General features: G+C 45.2%; 1 protein-coding gene across 10 annotated transcripts in view; it reads right to left on the reverse strand.

Annotated features, from left to right (window-relative positions):
* COL22A1 (collagen type XXII alpha 1 chain) overlaps nucleotides 12,580-17,557 on the reverse strand; it is a 325,807-nt gene continuing 320,829 nt past the window's right edge. For all 10 annotated transcript variants that reach the window (XM_017013150.3, XM_011516886.4, XM_011516884.3 and 7 more), the window contains 2 exons: nucleotides 15,769-15,846; nucleotides 12,580-13,785 (listed from right to left, as the gene is read on the reverse strand). In XM_017013150.3, the coding sequence (XP_016868639.1) occupies nucleotides 13,598-13,785; nucleotides 15,769-15,846 (266 nt within the window). In that variant the 3' untranslated portion in view covers nucleotides 12,580-13,597. The remainder of the gene's footprint in view (nucleotides 13,786-15,768; nucleotides 15,847-17,557) is intronic.

Genomic DNA, 17,557 nt, shown 5'->3' on the forward strand with positions numbered 1-17,557 from the left:
AAAGGTTGGTTGTGGAAGGTTTCAGGCAATCTAAGGTTATTAGAAAGTGCTGAGGCTTGGAGAGGACTCTCTGGCATGGGCTTTCAGGATAAGCATCCTGGAGGCAGGAGGGAAGGAAGACTGAGAGGGGAAGACCAGAGAAAGGACACTGGTCCCCCCAAGGTGGGAAATGAGCAAACTCACACTGAGGCAGTGGCTGGGGATGAACGGGGGAGAAGCATGGGAGGGGCTGAAGCAGTGGAATAAAGAAGTCACCCATCTCAGCACCTGAGAAGTTTCCACATTTCCAAAGGGACCAATATGTCCAGGGATGCTCATTCCCACGTGGACACCAGCTGGTTGGTGACAGTGTGGGGCTGGGCGGTGCTTTAAAGCCGGATGAGCTTCAGGGGCTGCAGGGCAGCTGATTGAGCAGAACTTAGAGTGTGAACACCTCCAGCCTTGCAGGTCACTTGAATTTTTCATCTCTCTGTCCTCTCTTTGTCACTCAATAATGTAGTCAAATGGTGCCTGGAACTGTTTTCTTCTCTTGCGGGTTCTGAAGAGCCCTCTGCAATGAATGGTGAGGGCCCAGCTTCCTGGCTTGGGAGGGCAGTGTGATTGAAGGATCTTGAGTAGAGGGCCGAGCTCTGGCATCAGAACGTGGAGGCAGATCTCCAGCGGCTTCCCAGGGTCTTTCTCCACTCAGACCTGGATGGCTTGGGTGGCTTTGTTCACACGAAAAGGCCAGTCTGATGCCCAGTCTCACAAGGTGATGTTTTGTGATGGGCCTACTCTGACCTTCAGGGATTAACAATCCACCGGGCAGATAAGAAAGGATTCTGAAAACAGAGAAGCACAGATCCCAAGCAGGACGAGGGGTACAGCCTGTGTGGGTGTCAGAGCCCCAGCAGGGTGAGCAAGATGTCCACACAGAGGGGCGGGACTGGCCAAAGAGCTCAGAGTCTGTGCTGGGTAAGGATGCCTGCTTGGAGGTGTCAGAGCCCAGTCAAGGTGAGAAAAACACAGTGTGGAGGCAGAGCCATGCAGAAAGAGAGGGGAGAGGGCAGCCTGCTCAGGATGACACGGCCTCAGTGGGTGAGAATGACTTCCGGGAAGGGCCACAGGGGTTGGAGGTGGCCTGGGGGGTGTCAGAGCCTGGATCAGGTCGGGGGTATAACAGCAGTGGCAATGGGAGTGTACAGGGAATTGGTGAAATAAATAAAGATATTAGGACAATGGAGCCCATTTCTCATTGTTGAAAGACAGAGTTACAAATGTGGAAAGAGAAAACTAGAAGGAACCTGGTGGTTTTTGGCTGGAGTTGGAGGTATTGATTTAAAGCCATTTTCCATCTATAGATAGATAAAAAATAAATATAGATGCAATATGGGATCTCAAGGAAGGATTCATCACTTTTTGTTTCATGCTAAAATGAAACAATTCCACTCACATGGATTTCCAGGTGGAACGAGGATTGGAAAGTGACTTCTCTGATTTACTTAACTGGAGCCAGAGCTTGGGGCTATCCTCTTGGTGGGCAGAGACCACTCACCCTGGACTCTCCTACACCACCTCTCACACCCTCTGAGCAATCAGAAGCTCTTGTCGTCTCCATCTACTCCAATCCCACCCATAGCCCCTTCCCCACCTCCCCTCTTCTCTTTGCCAGGCTCCTTGAGTGGGTTTCCATCATCTTCTACTCCTCCTGTCCTCACTGCTGGATGGAGGGGACGGGAAGCCCTTTGGATCTTGAGGGTGGAGGAATGGAAGCATGAAAGAGCGGTTTAGCTTGAGGACTGGAGATCCAAAGAGCAGTGAGCCCCTATACCCCCTGAGTCCAGCTTACCAGCAGGCTGCCTGTGCCTTATCTAAGATGGGGCACAGGGGAGGAAAGGCAAGTGACTGATCCTTCCCTGCCTGTTGTTATGTCGCTGAAAGCTACCTGGCCACAGGAGGCTCTGGGAACTGTAAGGAAAAGGGGTCATAGAACAGCTCTCTCAGCTCAATGCTAATAATGCAAATGATGATGATAATGGCGATGCTGCTGATAATGCCAGCTTTTTTTTAATACTTCCTACATGTCAGATATTGAAATACCTTTCATAGAATAATTGATTTAAACTTCCCTCCAAACTTATAAAGAAGGCACTATTTATGTTCCCATTAAGAGAGGGGGAAATCAACATGTCGAGATGCTTTTGAAACTTGTCCAAAGCATACGCTGGAAAGTGGGAGAGGAGGGCCCATGTCCTTCCAAGTCAGGAGTCGGACCCTTACTGTAAATGTGCTTTCCGTCTGACTGCATTGGGGCAGCTCCCACAGCAGTGGTAGAGCTGAGTCGACCCTCAGGACACGTGGGAGCCAGAGAGTCAGGGCAGAGGGTGCAGTAGTGGCCTGGGAGGATGTCCTGGCCAGAAGGGCAACTTTGCAGGGAATGGTAGGGCACTCAGAGAACTGAAGATCCTTGAGTGTGTCTATGAAGAAGGACTTGGAGGTGTAATTCATAGAGCTGGGCCTGAAGAGGCGGCTGAGGACGGACCATGAGTGCCTGTCAGGGCATTCAGAGACCAGATGGCCACAGGCATGGAAGGAGACTCACTGTCTACAGCTTCCAAGTCTTGGCGTAGGCATGCTCAGAAAATGCACAGCAGGAAACCACGGTATTGCTGTAATCTAAAGTTTGGAGGAACTCACCTCCTTAGGTGGGCATCAGAGGAAAGGTGGCTAAAATCAACCCCAGAGAGGGAGGAAGCCCCATCTCTGTCACTCAGTCCCATGGGGTATATGTGCAAGATCATCAATTGCTTGAATGTTCCAGACACAGAGAATGTGCCTGTTAATGAGCACCCTTAAGAGGCTTCCTAACCAGAGGTCCCAGAAAAATGGATGCTAAATGGAGAAAACCCGTGAAAAGCATGCACTCAATCACACAAAGAGCTCCTGTTTTTACCAGAGGGCTAAGAAACTCATCTAACGCTGCTAACAGACTATCTTAGACTTAAAAATAAGTCATTAAATGACGAATCGAGTAGCTTCCGGCTAATAAGGAATGCATTCTGAATCTCATCTAGTTCTGCAGTGAAGGAATGAGCCATAGGGCAGGCCACGTATGGGGAGTGAAACACTCAGGGCTTCCCTCTCAGGAGAAAACCTCCAGCCAGGAAATTCCTCCCACCTGCTGAGTAAGTGGCTGGGCCTCTGCAGCTGAGGCCCCAAGAACCAAAGGCAGGTGAGGCTTGGGCTTCCAGGACACAGGAATGAAAACAGGACCACGGAAGCTGAACGATCCATCTGTAGGTTGCCACCTTTCCTTTCCAGGGGTCAGCAGACTAGAAGGTCCAGGGTTTTCTGAGCACCCTTACAGCTGGCAGCAGTTCAGGGAGGCTTCTCAAGGCCTCCGCACAGGGCCCCAGCTCAGGGTACAGAGACTGCAGGCAGCTGTTAGGGAGGATGAGATGCTAGGGCAGCTCCTGAAGGTGGTTGGACCCCAGGTAGAGATGAGTGAGATTGTGCAGGTGGACGCTCTCCCCTGGGAGTCTAGAGAGACTCCACTGGGAGCCAGTTCTGTCCCTGGGGCTCAGTCTTAGCTCCTGCAGATGCTTTAGTTGAAGTAGCCCCTGAGGCAGGTATGCTGGGCACCCTCCAGCATAGGACCTTGGAGAGGAATGGAAGGGGCGCCTTATGAACTGCCTCCCTCTTGCACTAGGGTGTGCCATTTTATTAATAGTATTATTATTTTAAGACAGGGTCTTGCTCTGTCATCCAGGCTGGAGTGCAGTGGCATGATCATAGCTCACTCACCAGACCTACCTCCTAGACTCAAGTGATCCTCCCACCTCAGCCTCCCTAGTAGCTGGGACCCACAGCCATGTACCACTAGGCCATTTTGATTTTTTGTAGACATGGGATCTCACTATGTTGCTCAGGCTGGACCAAAACTCCTAGGCTTAAACAATCCTCTCACTTCAGCCTCCCAAAGTGCTAGGATTACAAGTGTGAGCCACTGAGCCTGGCCTAGGCAAGTCATATCAGACACCCCTTCTCTTCTCTGGGCTTCATCTCCCTGTCCCTGCAGTAAGGAGGTGGGAAGAAATCATCCCTCAGAGCCTCTAATATTTGTCTAACTCCGTGGCTTCTCAGCCCAAGTAATCTGGTCTGCTAGCTGGGTTAACTTGTACGTTGCCTGGTGCTATCTCAGAGTTAACCCAGCCCAGCCCTGGGGACAGTCTGGTTTTCCTGCCAAAACAGGCTGCCTCTGGCACTTCACCAGCCCACTCCAGCAGGACAGGGATTAGGGGTGAGACAAGTGAAGAGCTCGCCTGTGGGGGAGAAGTATGGGTGAGCCACAAATATTCTCAAGATGAATATGTCAATGCAGTATTTTTTAAAAATCAGAATCAATGCAAAAAATCCATGATGAACAAAATACCAAATTTTAAGTAAAGGATCAGTGTTGCCAGTTTCTTTCTTTGCCTTCAGCACTAACCTGGCTTCACAGAGCACCCTTTATTGATCCTGTCTGGACTTAAAATTGTGTCCTTCACAGCATCTCCGATAAACCTCACTAAAACCCTTGGGGGTCAGGATTACGTCTCCCTGCTTGCAGGCAGAGAAGTCAGGTGCCTTCTTCTGGGGACTAGTAATTGACTGGACACTGGTTCTGTCTGATCCCTTACCCCACACTGTTCTTTCCAGTGGTGTCCGTCTAAGGGTGTTCATAGCCCACTGGTGGACATGGATAGACACATTTTTCAGTGTAATCATCTTATTTTCATTTTATCATCTGATTTAAAAATACAGATGTTATGCCTCATGAAGAAGTCAAATATAAATTAAGGCAAAAATCAAGGTGCTGAATTTAAAAAATGGTCAACATGTTTCACGGGCATGGCAGCCATCTGCAGTCTGAGGGCACCTTCTTGCTGTTTGATCTTGGCCAAGTGGCTTTCCCTTTCTGAACCTTTAATTGTTTCAACTACAGAATTGTCTCTAAGCCACCCTACAGCTTCAGTATTCTTTAGCTTGGGACTTATTTCTCTGTTGTCTCTCTTAATTCCTTTCAGGGAACTGTGGCTACTTAGGGGTCCCAGCAGGCTGGTCCTGGGTATGGTCTGTCCCCGACCTGAGGTCTGGCTGCTCCTGGTTGTCACCAGAACAGTGGCAGACTTGGTAATACAAGAGGCTCAGCCCCATCCAGGACCTGGGATGATGACAGCCCAGCCTGTGTCTTCCCATCCCTCGTCTCAATTCCAGTGGATAGAGGTTAGTACAAGTCCCCTTGGAGCTTGGCCGGGGCTGGGCCTCTGTCCTCCTCATCTCCTGGTGTGTTATCTTGCAAGCAGCAGCAATTCCGGATTGGCATTCCAGTGGCACCTGCTCTTGAACTCATTTCACCTGGAGCTCTGGGCAACCCCACCATCAAGAAGAAAGAGAGCACCCAGGCTCTTCTTCCATCTCTGCACTCCCCTGCTACTGGATCTGGGGAGCATCGACTTTGAGTCTTGAATGCTTCATCTTTCAAACGCAGAAGTATCAATTCCTGCCTCAGATGCTGGCCACGAGGGCCACATGAAACAGCGTTCCTACAGTGTCTAGGCCAATGTCTGCCCTGTAGAAGATGATTCATCATTGTCACTTCTCTTTTCTCCCCACCTCACTCCACCCCTGCTGCTACCCAACTGTGACCTAAAAGATTCTCTTTGACACAAGCCACGTGACCTGTTCCTTTACCATGTTTCTCTTAGTAACCACCTGGTACCCCGCATGCTGTTCTCATTATCCTCCCGAAAAACGAAGCCCCATTCCTCAGCTTTAAACTATGAATCCCCAGAAGCTAGTGCAGTTTCCCTAGGCTGACCCCATTTAAGGGTGCGTCCTGAGCCCCTGCCGTGCCTGGAACATTCTCTGCTTGAAGACCTCTCGTGGCGGGGGCTCAGGTCCTTCATGGCTGTGCTCACTGTCTCTGGGCCTTTCTGACCAAGTGTTTTCATGAATGCCACCCTGAGAACCACCATCTCCTAACTTTACTCATCCACTCCTTTCTTGGACTCTCCCTTCAGGTGTCCACATTCAGCTGTGAGGCATCTGACGTTCGCTTTTCCAAGAGGAATAGTTTTTTGTGTGTCATGGGCTAAGTCCACCCAGCATTCTCCAATGTACCCCCGTGGGCTTAAATTCCTCCTTGTGGCCCTCAGAAACCCTTGTTGTGCTATGGCAGGCAGGGAGTTGAGTGGGGTTGTGTGTCCTGATTCCTTCTGTGGGATCAAATTCCTTAAATGTATCCCTTCTGAGAGAGGGTGCATTTTGCCTTCTGCAGGCCTGCTGCATGTCCTCAAAGGATCATCTCAACAGGTTCCCGTGAAAATCAGACAACTCCTATGCCCTGAAAACAAGATTCTGAAAAACAGAACCGAAGGGTCCCCAGGGTGGAGTCCCACAGAAGGAAGAGCTCCTCATTTCCTGAATAAGATGAGGAGAGGTCCCAAATGCGGTTCAGCCTCACCCTACATCCAGTTGTGTGGGGTGGTTGGGTGCGAGAGGCCAAGCCTCAGAGACTTCATATTTCATAGCAGGATTTGACTCCTTGCTGCTGTGAAGCCTGGGGGCGGCCCTTCTCCCCTGCCGCTAAGTCCTTCCCTGTGAAGATGGGGCGAAAAGCACCTGCTCCCCAGGACTGTGGTGAGAGAAAGTGTGTGAGGCCCCAGGCACTCAGTGGGCATGCTCACTGGCAGATGATAGTATCTTTATTTCTACTGTGGAGTCTTCTATAATACCTATAAATTTTATTTATAGCTCTAATCAAATTCAATTGCCAGATTCTGTTCCATGCATGTCTGTCTCTGTATGTGTTGCCCAGAAACACTCTTTGGGAGTTAATTATAGACCAGTCTCCTAGACTGCGAGCTCCTTGAGAATGGGCCTGTATCCTGTTCACTGTCGGATCCTCAGCACCTGACCCGTGTTTGCTCAGAGTGAAGGACTGTCGTTTGCCCACTATGCCCCACCCACTCGGACCATGGAGAATAGCCCCGCTCTGAGTGGCAGGGAGCTCTGTCATCCCTGCCAACTTCTCTATTCTTCACTGACGACAGGGGGCATTCCAGAAGGGAACCAAAGTGAGACCAGGCCAAACAACCTCACAAATGTCTCCATGGCAACAGCTTGTCCTGCCACACACAAAGGATCCTGGCTAACTATGCAGCCAAAGGTCAAGTTGTCAGTGTGAGGCCTCTTAGCCAAGCATGCCTCTCAGAACAAGGCTAACCTTCCTCATTCTCACTCCTTTTTTCCCAAACATCAGGATTGTAACTAGTGAAGACAATAACCAAGAACACCTTAGGAGGAATGCTTGTAGAAATGGGGAACTAGAACACTTTTACACTGTTGGTGGGAGTATAGATTAGTTCAACCATTGTGGAAGACAGTGTGGCAATTCCTCAAGGATCTAGAAGTAGAAATACCATTTGACCCAGCAATCCCATTACTGGGTATATACCCAAAGGATTATAAATCATGCTACTATAAAGACACATGCACACGTATGTTTATTGTGGCACTATTCACAATAGCAAAGACTTGGAACTGACCCAAATGTCCATCAATGATAGACTGGATTAGGAAAACGTGGCACATATACACCATGGAATACTACACAGCCATAAAAAAGGATGAGTTCATGTCCTTTGTAGGGACATGGATGAAGCTGGAAACCATCATTCTGAGCAAACTATCGCAAGGACAGAAAACCAAACACCACATGTTCTCACTCATAGGTGGGAACTGAACAATGAGAACACTTGGACACAGGGCAGGGAACATCACACACCAATGCCTGTCGTGGGGTTGGGGGAGGGGGGAGGGATGGCATTAAGAGAAATACCTAATGTGAATGACGAGTTAATGGGTGCAGCAAACCAACATGGCACATGTATACATACATAACAAACCTGCACGTTGTGCACATGTACCCTAGAACTTAAAGAATAATAATAATAATAAAAAGAAATGGGGAATTAGTTGGTCTGGAAATGTCTGTGTCTGGTATTACTTCATTGTCTGTGCCTTTTCAGGCCTCAGTATCTGGAGAACAGATACATCACTTACCCCATGTTCCCTCTCTTCCGAAATGAACTTTCAAGCCAGCTTCGCAGATAGCCCACTATCTTCAACCACATACACTACCCTCATAACCCTAGCTTCACAAAATAGCACCATCAAAGCAACCTGAAGACAAATGTTCAAAATTGGTAAGAAAAGAAAAGGAAGAGAAACAAAATTATGCCCCTAAAATAGCGTGTCCTCAACCACGTCAAAGATGCAACCAGAAATACACCCTCCCTCCTTTTAATGATTTAATGAACAGCTTCTCCTTTGCCCTGGAGAACATTTCTGAAAAACACAGGTTAGTGTCAGCTCTCTTCACCTCACCAGGAGAGTCCAGGAGGGACATAGACAAAGGTGGCCCAGAGTGAGGCTGCTGTCTGCTGGCTTAGAGCATGCTTCTGTGTCCTGTGTCACAGTGTAGGGAGGTGGGGCATTCTCCAGGGAGTGGGAGACGGGAGATTTGTGCATGACTTTGGGCAAATTGCCTCACCCCTCTGACAGTTTCCTAATGAATGGAAGGGCAAAGATCTATGCCTGGCCCATCACAGTTGTGTTGCAAGGAACAAATGATAAAGCTTAAAGGAACATGCTTTGAAAAATAGGTAAGCACCCACTGGTTTAAAAAGAAGTGCTCCTCTCCTTGAATTAAAGTAAACAAATGAGCAAAGTTGACTCAAGTGTTCTTAAAGGGTGGCAAAGAGACTCTTGTAAAGGATGGTTTAGTTTGCCCTACTTTTAAAAAATTTAATCCTCACCCAAATCCTGTGAATTAATGTTGTCAATTTTAGTTAATGGAGGAGGAAACTGAGGTTACTTGGTTATTCCTTTGATGTCTCCAGTTTTGAGCAACTGGAGTGCACTGGGCGGCAAAGGGATGGGCTGCAACACTAAAGCCAAGCAGCTGGGCAGTTCTTAGGGATCAGAGAGAGGCTAATCAACAAATGAACGGGGGTCACCCAGCACTGCAGCCTGGCTGCACTCAAGCTGGGGAAGTTCTTCCAAGTCCTAGACCACAGAAGCCAGGGCTGCCGGTCACCAACCTGCCCCCAACAAGAAAGCATGCAGGTGCCCTGCGCAGAAGGCAAAGTGGTCCCTGAGCCAAGGCCAATATGGCAGAATTCTACTCATTCCCCTTCCTCCAGCTGGAAGAGGAGTGAGCTTGTATGACCAACCCTATATGGGAGAAACCCCATGTGGGCCCAGGTATCCCAAAACACACCTCGGAGGTCTTTGGGAAACCCCTGGTCTCATCCATTATTTATTGAATATCTGCTGTGTATTTATTGAACATCTACTGAACCAGGTGCTGAGTTTCTCCAAAACACAGAATCAACTCTTTCTGTACCTACCCTATGGCATTCTAAGAAAGAAGGGGTTTGCAGAGATGGACCCTCAGGTTGTAGCAGTTGGCAGAAAGCAAGTAGGAAGGGCTGCCTAGAAAGTGCTGGTCACTCCAGGTTTGAGCCCAACTCCTTGGGCCACTTGAGTGAATTATCTGTTTCTTCCCAACCCAGGAAAGCATCTTTCCAAGCTCACAGTAGTGAGGATGAAGCATCTCATCTTTGAAGATCTCAAAATCTGTGGGGACATCTGAGTCCTGTTCTGGGTTTACCTAAACACTGAGCCCCAAGGTTTGGGTTGAAATATATGGGACTCAGGAAAACTGAGCAGCAGGAGGCCTCAATGGTGCTTAGCCTGGGAGGGAGACAGCAAAGGAAGTGTGGGTAGGGCAGAGATCTCTAAAATCTGCTGGGGAGACTTCAAACACTGATTATTCCATACCATCTCCCAGAGACCCTGATTCAGTGGTTCTGGAATAGTTCCCTAGAATCTATACTGTTATAAATAAAGTTCCCCTATGAATTTTTACCATCAGGCATATCAAGGGACTCACCAGAGAAGTGGTATGAACTCTTGTATCCAAATACTGGGCTCCACACTTAGAATTTTGGGAAAATCACTCTTTCTTTCTGAGCCTTGTTTTTCCCATTTGTGGGGGAAAAATAAGGATTTGGATTACACCAGATATTCCCAGGTGTGGGAATTACGAACTGCTAATTACAAAATAATAATTATTGGGAACTATATAAGGGAGGTGAGCCAGATCTTTATTTTGTCAAGTAAGGATATAAAAAACAAAGAAGTAAATATTACTCTACACACACACACACATACACACACACACCCCACATTCTCTTTCTCTCACTATTATTTCTCACAGTATGAGTCATTTTAAACCCTAAAAATTAGAGAGATTCCAGTCTCAGAATGAAAAGCCATCCTTTCAATGCAACACATTTGGGTTGGTTTTCTGTCCAGCTCACATTGTTGACCTCTGGTCCCACCTGGCAGGTGAACACCTCACCCTGTACCAGTAATTGGGAACTTCAGGCCTGTGACTGCCAGGTTTCTGACAAAGAACTTTTACCTAAAATATACAGAAAACTCTTGAGACTCAAAAATTAAAATCAGACAACTTAATTTTTTAAAATGGGCAAAACATCTGAACATAAACTTCACCAAAGAAGATATTCAAGTGGAAAATAAGCATATGAAAATATGCTGGATATCATGTTATTAGGAGATTGCTAATGGAAGCAACAATGAGATACCACTACGCACCTATTAGAATGACCAAAATCCCAAACACTAACAGCACATAATGCAGGTGAGATGGTGGAGCAACAGAAACTCACTGCTGGTAGGAATGGAAAAGGATGCAGCTATTTGGAAGACCAATTTGGCAGTTTCTTACAAAACTAAACATGTTCTTACCATGCGATCTAGCAATTGTGCTTCTTGGTATTTACCCAAAGGAGTTGAATAATCACATCCACACAAAACCCTGCACAGATATGTTTATAGCAGCTTTATTCATAACTGCCAAATCTTGGAAGCAACCAAGATGCCCTTCAGTAGGTAAATGGATAAATTCTGAAACTTCCAGGCAATGGGATATTATTCAGCACTAAAAAAAAGGGGGTTATTAAGCCAAGAAAAAGCCACAGAGGAATCTAAATGCAAAATACTAAGTGAAAGAAGCTAAATTGAAAAGGCTGTATGATACCAACTAGATATTTTGGAAATGACAAAACTATGGAGACAATTTTAAAAAACCAGCAGTTTCCACAGGTTAGGAGAGAAGAGGAGTATGAAGAGGCAGACAACAGAGACTTTTTAGGGCAGTGAAACTCTTCTGTATGATCTTATAATGGTGGATAATGGCATATCAGTATCCATTAGTCCAAACCCATAAAGTGTGCAACAGCAAGAGTGAACCCTCATGTCAACTGTGGATGTTGGGTGATAGTGACGTGTCAATGTAGATTCATCAACTGTAACAAACGTACCGCTAGGGTGTGGGATTTGGAAGGTGGGTGGGTGGGGGAGGCTGTGTGTGTATGTGGGTGGTTGGGGGTGGGCAGGGAGCACATGGAAATCTGTACCTTCCTCTTAATTTTGCTGTGAATCTAAAACTGCTCTAAAACTTAGTCTATTTCATACAACAACAATAAAAATGAAATAGAATAGTAAATGTTCGATCAAGCACACTTGATCAGGTAGATATTTTATTTCAAAACCCTTGCTTTATATATGTATGCATGTACTGAGTCACTAAGAAATTACACCTCTTACTGTGGGTCATGGTCAGAAAATGTTAAAAGTCACTGGATGAGAGTATTTCTGAGGTCCCTGAGATAGTTTCTTCAAATGAAAAAGGGTATTAGAGTAATACCCCTGCATCTTCAATGGTTGTGAAAACCAACTGAGATGGTAAACGTGAGAAAGACTGAGAGGGAGGCTGTCTCATTCTGCACCAACAGGAATGGCTTCTTTTGGACCCCTGACACCCATCCAGCCCCAGAATCAGCACCAGCTGACTGAACACAAGGAATGGGTATCAGATTTCATTTTTAAATCATTGCAATAATACTTCTTTACCCATGGAAACATCAAACTTCTTGAAATGTTTATGTTCCCAGTTTCTAAATCAATTAGAGGCATCCAGAACAGGGGATCACACAAAGGAAGTTCTTGATAAACATCTACTGCTTTAGTCTGTAAGTGGCTAACAGCTTGGGTGAATGGACAAATTAATGAATGGATGAATCAATGGATCGATCAGTCGGTCCACCAGTCAATCTGTCAGTCAAGAACAAATGCAGGAAGAGTATTGGTGACTCATTTGGCCTCTAGATGCAGTTTAACAGGAAAGGTTCTGCTAAAACCTTCCAACTTGCTTCACTCCCTCCCCACTGTGATCCTGCATAAATGTGCACATCTAAATGTCTGCTTCCATATGAAGGGAGGCTAATGAACGGCCCTGGACTAGCTCAGTCTGGCACACACATTCACTCCCTCGTTCATTCACCAGGTGGGCTGAACATGTGGACTGTGTGCTACGGTTCTCACAAGAAAAAGATACATCCCAGTGCTTGAGGAGTTCACATTCAGGTGGAAGTCGAATACAAGAAATCAATCATCAAGAGGAACTCAAGAGAAGGAAACTTGGATTTATTGAGCACCTGTTCAGGCAGGGCATGTCGCATACACACATGCACTTGATGCCATTTATTTCAGAGACAGAGCCGCCTTGGAGATACAAATTTCCCAGCTCTGGTCAGTGCCCTGGCCAACTGCCCATCATTAGGGAAACACAAGTGGATGGTCACCACATCCACTTGTTTTATAATTAATATAATTGAAACCAACAAGAGGAACTTGAAGGGGCCTTACACAGTTTAGAAGACAAATTAACACTCAAGGGCTGCCTCTTCAACATAGGTTTTCCCATCTTTGGCCAAGACATATGATCCCACAAAGCCATTGCCAACCCACAGACATTATTTCACTTCTGTGAGCTTAGAGCACTGAGGTGGCTGGAGTGCACCCTGAGGGCTGATTCTGTGTTTTCCAAATGCACGTCCCGTCGGGAGGTGGGAACATTCCTCATGGTTGCAAATTCTTTCTCTTTCTGCTTCTTTACTCTCTCTGGACAGTGGTGGTGTTTGTATTATTTCTCCTGGGTGATCTCCGGGCATGACTGAGAATGAAGCCCATTGGCTCATTTTCTTAAAGTTTTTCTTTTGAAGAAAGAGGTAAATTTGCCAAGTGTCTGGTCAGGGTTTTGTAGCACCAAGAGTTTCCTTAAAATGGGCAGTTACGCGTCAGATGGGGGCTGTCAGAAGAATGAAGAAACAATCTCCTGCCCCACGAATCAAGTTTTCCCAACTTTAAAGGAGTGGAAAAGAACTCACAAAGCATCAGCATATGAAATAATAATAATAATTAACAACAACAATAATATTAATAATAATCTGACCGACCGGCAGCGTCTGTTGGATTTAATAATTTTGAGGTCTCTCAAGAAAATAAAACAAAAAGCAAACGATAAAAGAAAGAAAAAAAAAAGGAACACATGGCTGAAGTCTTTCAAGACCTCTGGCTTCCCACTGGGCTCTGAGTTCAAGTTTCAGAAATCCACTGCAGTCTTCTGGCTTTCCAGAGTCCTTTAGGGACCCTTCACATTACCCGGCCGGGCAGCAAGGCTGGCGAAGTAGGCACACTGGGAAGGGTCACATTGGCCTGGGGGACCGGGAGGTCCTGGGAGGCCAGGATGTCCAGCTGGTCCTGTCTCCCCTTGAGGGCCAGGGATCCCAGGAAGTCCATCTTTAGCATAGCCAGGTTCCCCGGGTTGACCTGGCCCAAGGAGCAAAAGAAACAGAAGGTGGTTCAAGATCCTTCTGGGAGGGGATGGGCCCTGAACTCACAGCTTCCATTCACTATGAACTCAGGACCTGAAACGTCCTCAGACAGAGCATCCCCATGGTCTGGGAGCTCTGAGCAACTAGAGTGGTCCACATAAACACCAGGTAGCAGGAGCACCTCAATATGTAGAAGAAGGGGTTGCTTTAACTATTTGACCTAGGATAGTAATCCAGGTACCACTGGAGAGAAAGAAACAAGGGTAGATTGAGACCAGGTAGGGCATATTTCTCCACTGAAGAGTCAGATGAGAGACCTGGCCTTCTGGGTTCTTACATGGGTCTAGGGAATGAGTCTGAGTGGAGAGTGGACACCAAGTCCTGATCATTAACCCTCAGCCCCAATTCACATGACCTTAGAGACACCTGGTGACATTCCATTGTGTAACATCCAACTTGTTCCAAATCTGTATTTTCTCAGCTTTATCTACACATTAAATTTGAACCACATATTTGGATTACATTAAGCTATTCTGTAAAATCATGGCCAAAGACAACATCTAGGATGCAAGTAAGTGACACTTAAAATAGTCCAAAATTGAGACCCAGAAAATATTGCCTATAGACAAACTTCTATCCTTTCACTTAGTAAGCATCATGACATCATATATAATCAACCTATCTTTCTTCTTACCTTTGGCAACTCGGAAGGTCAGTGCTAAGCCTTGTGGTTAACCCTAGTAGTGACATCCCTTCTTATGTCTTAGTAATCGTCTTATCAGAAAATATCATATAAAATAAACACAAAGTAAACTTTTTACTTAAAAAGATCTGTAGATATTTCACTAACTCTATTAATGCTTTGGTAATAGCTATTTAATCTATAATCCTGCCTAGATCAAGTTTTGAGGCCTCAGTGTTATTCATTCCTTGGGCTAAGAGCCACTGAAATGGGATAATTATTGGTACAGTTACTTCCTCCTTTTAAATGGTTTCTGTTCTGCCATTTACTCTTTATTTGAAATTGCCTTCTTTTAAAAGTTATTCTTAATATTGTAAGCTATTTGAAAATAGGTGAGCCATAAAAATAAATATTAATAATGTATTTCTAATTATCTTATCTAACAAAAATAATAATAAATATCCACTTTAGAAAATTTGGAAAATCATGAAGGTATAAATACTAAAATCGAAATTCTCTATAAGATCAATATTCAGATTTGACCTCAGGCAAACACAGAAATTAAAGTTAAATAAAAAATAGAAGCCTCAAAAGTCAAATTTCTTCTACCTTCTACCTATACATCTAATTCTGGAATGTGATTATTGCTGCATTGCAGAGATCTTCCAACATGGCTACTGGGTAGCATGACCAACTTGCCCCAGTTTTCTCAAGTCATGTCTTGGCTTTAAAACTGAAATCCTCTGTTCCCAGAAACATCCTCAGCCCTGGGACAGCTAACCACCCTACCACTGGGTGAGCATTCCCCAAAACATATTCTGAGAAATACTAAAAGGATATTAACAACTGTATAGTGAAAGAAAAAGGACTTCTCTTTCAAGTGAATTTCGAAAGTGCTAGGTTAAACAAAACAGACACATTTTTTAATGCGAGAGTCCTTAGCACTTACAATAGTGAATGTGCACCAGAAATGTCTGAAAGAGAAACACAGTCCCCAGCAGTTCCTGATTTAGCCCAAGTCAATTTTTTTTTCCCAGGACCATTTCATGAAATTTTAAACTCGCGGGATACACTTCAACAATTCATAGAATACACTACAGTTTTCTTAGTAAGTCAAGAAGGTCGTATTTTAGAAATATTTAATGAAACCAAGTGAGTGATCTCTGTCTCCTCCTCATCTGTAGAGCCTAAGCCCTCCTCTCCGCTCACTGCTGAGTCCTGTGGGGCCACGGGCAGGGGTGCTGGGTCTCCAGGGTAGCTCACACCCTACCCCTGAGACTGCAGAATGAGTCATACCTGGGATTCCAGGGGGTCCCATCTCGCCTCGGAGGCCAACTCCAGGTGCACCTGGGTCACCTTTGGCTCCTCGCTCACCTGGGAAGAAAAACATGCACTTTTGATGGTGGAGACCCCCGGGGAGGACAGAAACTGGGCGTCCCACCTTGCGGGAGGTGCAGGGGCAGCACTGGGCTGCTGTGGCATTCCAGTCTAAACCACCCTGAGCACACACACTCATGCCGCACAGGACCCCAATTCCCACTCACACACTCATTCACACACACACTCCAGCACACACTCACATTCAGAAGTATGCACATGGAATCACCAAAATAAACAAACACTCCCTCCTAAACACATATCTACATATGAACATTTGCTCAAGCACGTATCTACCCAATTCCATACAGACATATATATATTCAAACCATATTAACAACTGTATACATACACTCATATTCACATACTGACTCATTCAGACAAATGTACACACCTACACACTCTCTCATATGCCGTACACACAGAAGTCCGCATGCATCTCCTCTTATATGTCTATGCTTCCTGTGTTTTCAAAGCATTGTACCTGAACCTTTGTCAGGAAGAAACTGGATGGTATATAACCAATTCAACACGCATGTGGGCATGTGCAGTGATAAGTAACACACAGCTCTACTCTCAAGAAGCTTGAAATTCAATAAGAGAAATCAAATAGGGCAAGAAGAACATTCTAGTATGAAACAGAATGCGATAAATGCCATCATAGGAATTTCAAAAAAACACTACAGACATGCAGAGGAGAGAGTGATCCATTTTCTCTGGGAGGACACTTGAGATCATATTTGAATGAAGATAGTGGAGATTGGATTAAACTGTCTCTCACCCTTGTTTTTTAAATCAATCACTTGTTTTGCCATATTGTTTCTTGAATATCTGCTGCATGCAGTGTATTTTCTCTTGTAACCCCAATTGAAATTCTGCTGGTTCACGGGGACTTCAGACCATTCATTTTTATTGTTATAATAATCGTGTTTGGTCAGTATTCTGCCACAATCTGATGTTCTCTGTTTTATGCTTTCTTATTGACATTTATTTTATATATTTTGTTTTATGAAATCACATGAGTAGGACTAGAATATACAAATTTAACAAAAAGCCTTTCAAGTAGGAGAAACATTATAGGAAATGGATAAGCAAATTAAGAATTAGTAAGAAAATGGGAGATCAAAAGAGGACAATGTTAGAAGCATTCATCTCCCTAACTCCAAGTCACTCCAGAGCAGCTAAAATGACACCACATGCTCCTTTCCCTGCCCCATGCTTATTCCTAATCGGTCGGACAGGAGTGAATTATGGGGCTGGTCTCCTGTCTTTTATCTTTATTTGAAATTGCCTTATTCAAAAATTATTATTAATTATATAAGCTATTTGAAAGCAGGCAAGCTTAAAAAAATAGATAAAATATTTTTTAAACAACCTTTTATAAATCATTCTACTATAAAGAGACATGCACACGTATGTTTATTGCAGCACTATTTACAATAGCAAAGACTTGGAACCAACCCAAATGCCCATCAATGATAGGCTGGATAAAGAAAATGTGGCACATATACACCATGGAATACTATGCAGCCATAAAAAAGAATGAGTTCATGTCCTTTGCAGGAACACGGATGAAGATGGAAGCCATGATTCTCAGCAAACTAACACAGGAACAGGAAGCCAAACACGGCATGTTCTCACTCATAAGTGGGAGCTGAACAATGAGAACACATGGACACAGGGAGGGGAACATCACACACCAGGGCCT

The sequence above is a fragment of the Homo sapiens genome, chromosome 8 (assembly GCF_000001405.40).
Source record: "Homo sapiens chromosome 8, GRCh38.p14 Primary Assembly".
In the NCBI taxonomy this organism is placed as follows: Eukaryota; Metazoa; Chordata; class Mammalia; order Primates; family Hominidae; genus Homo; species Homo sapiens.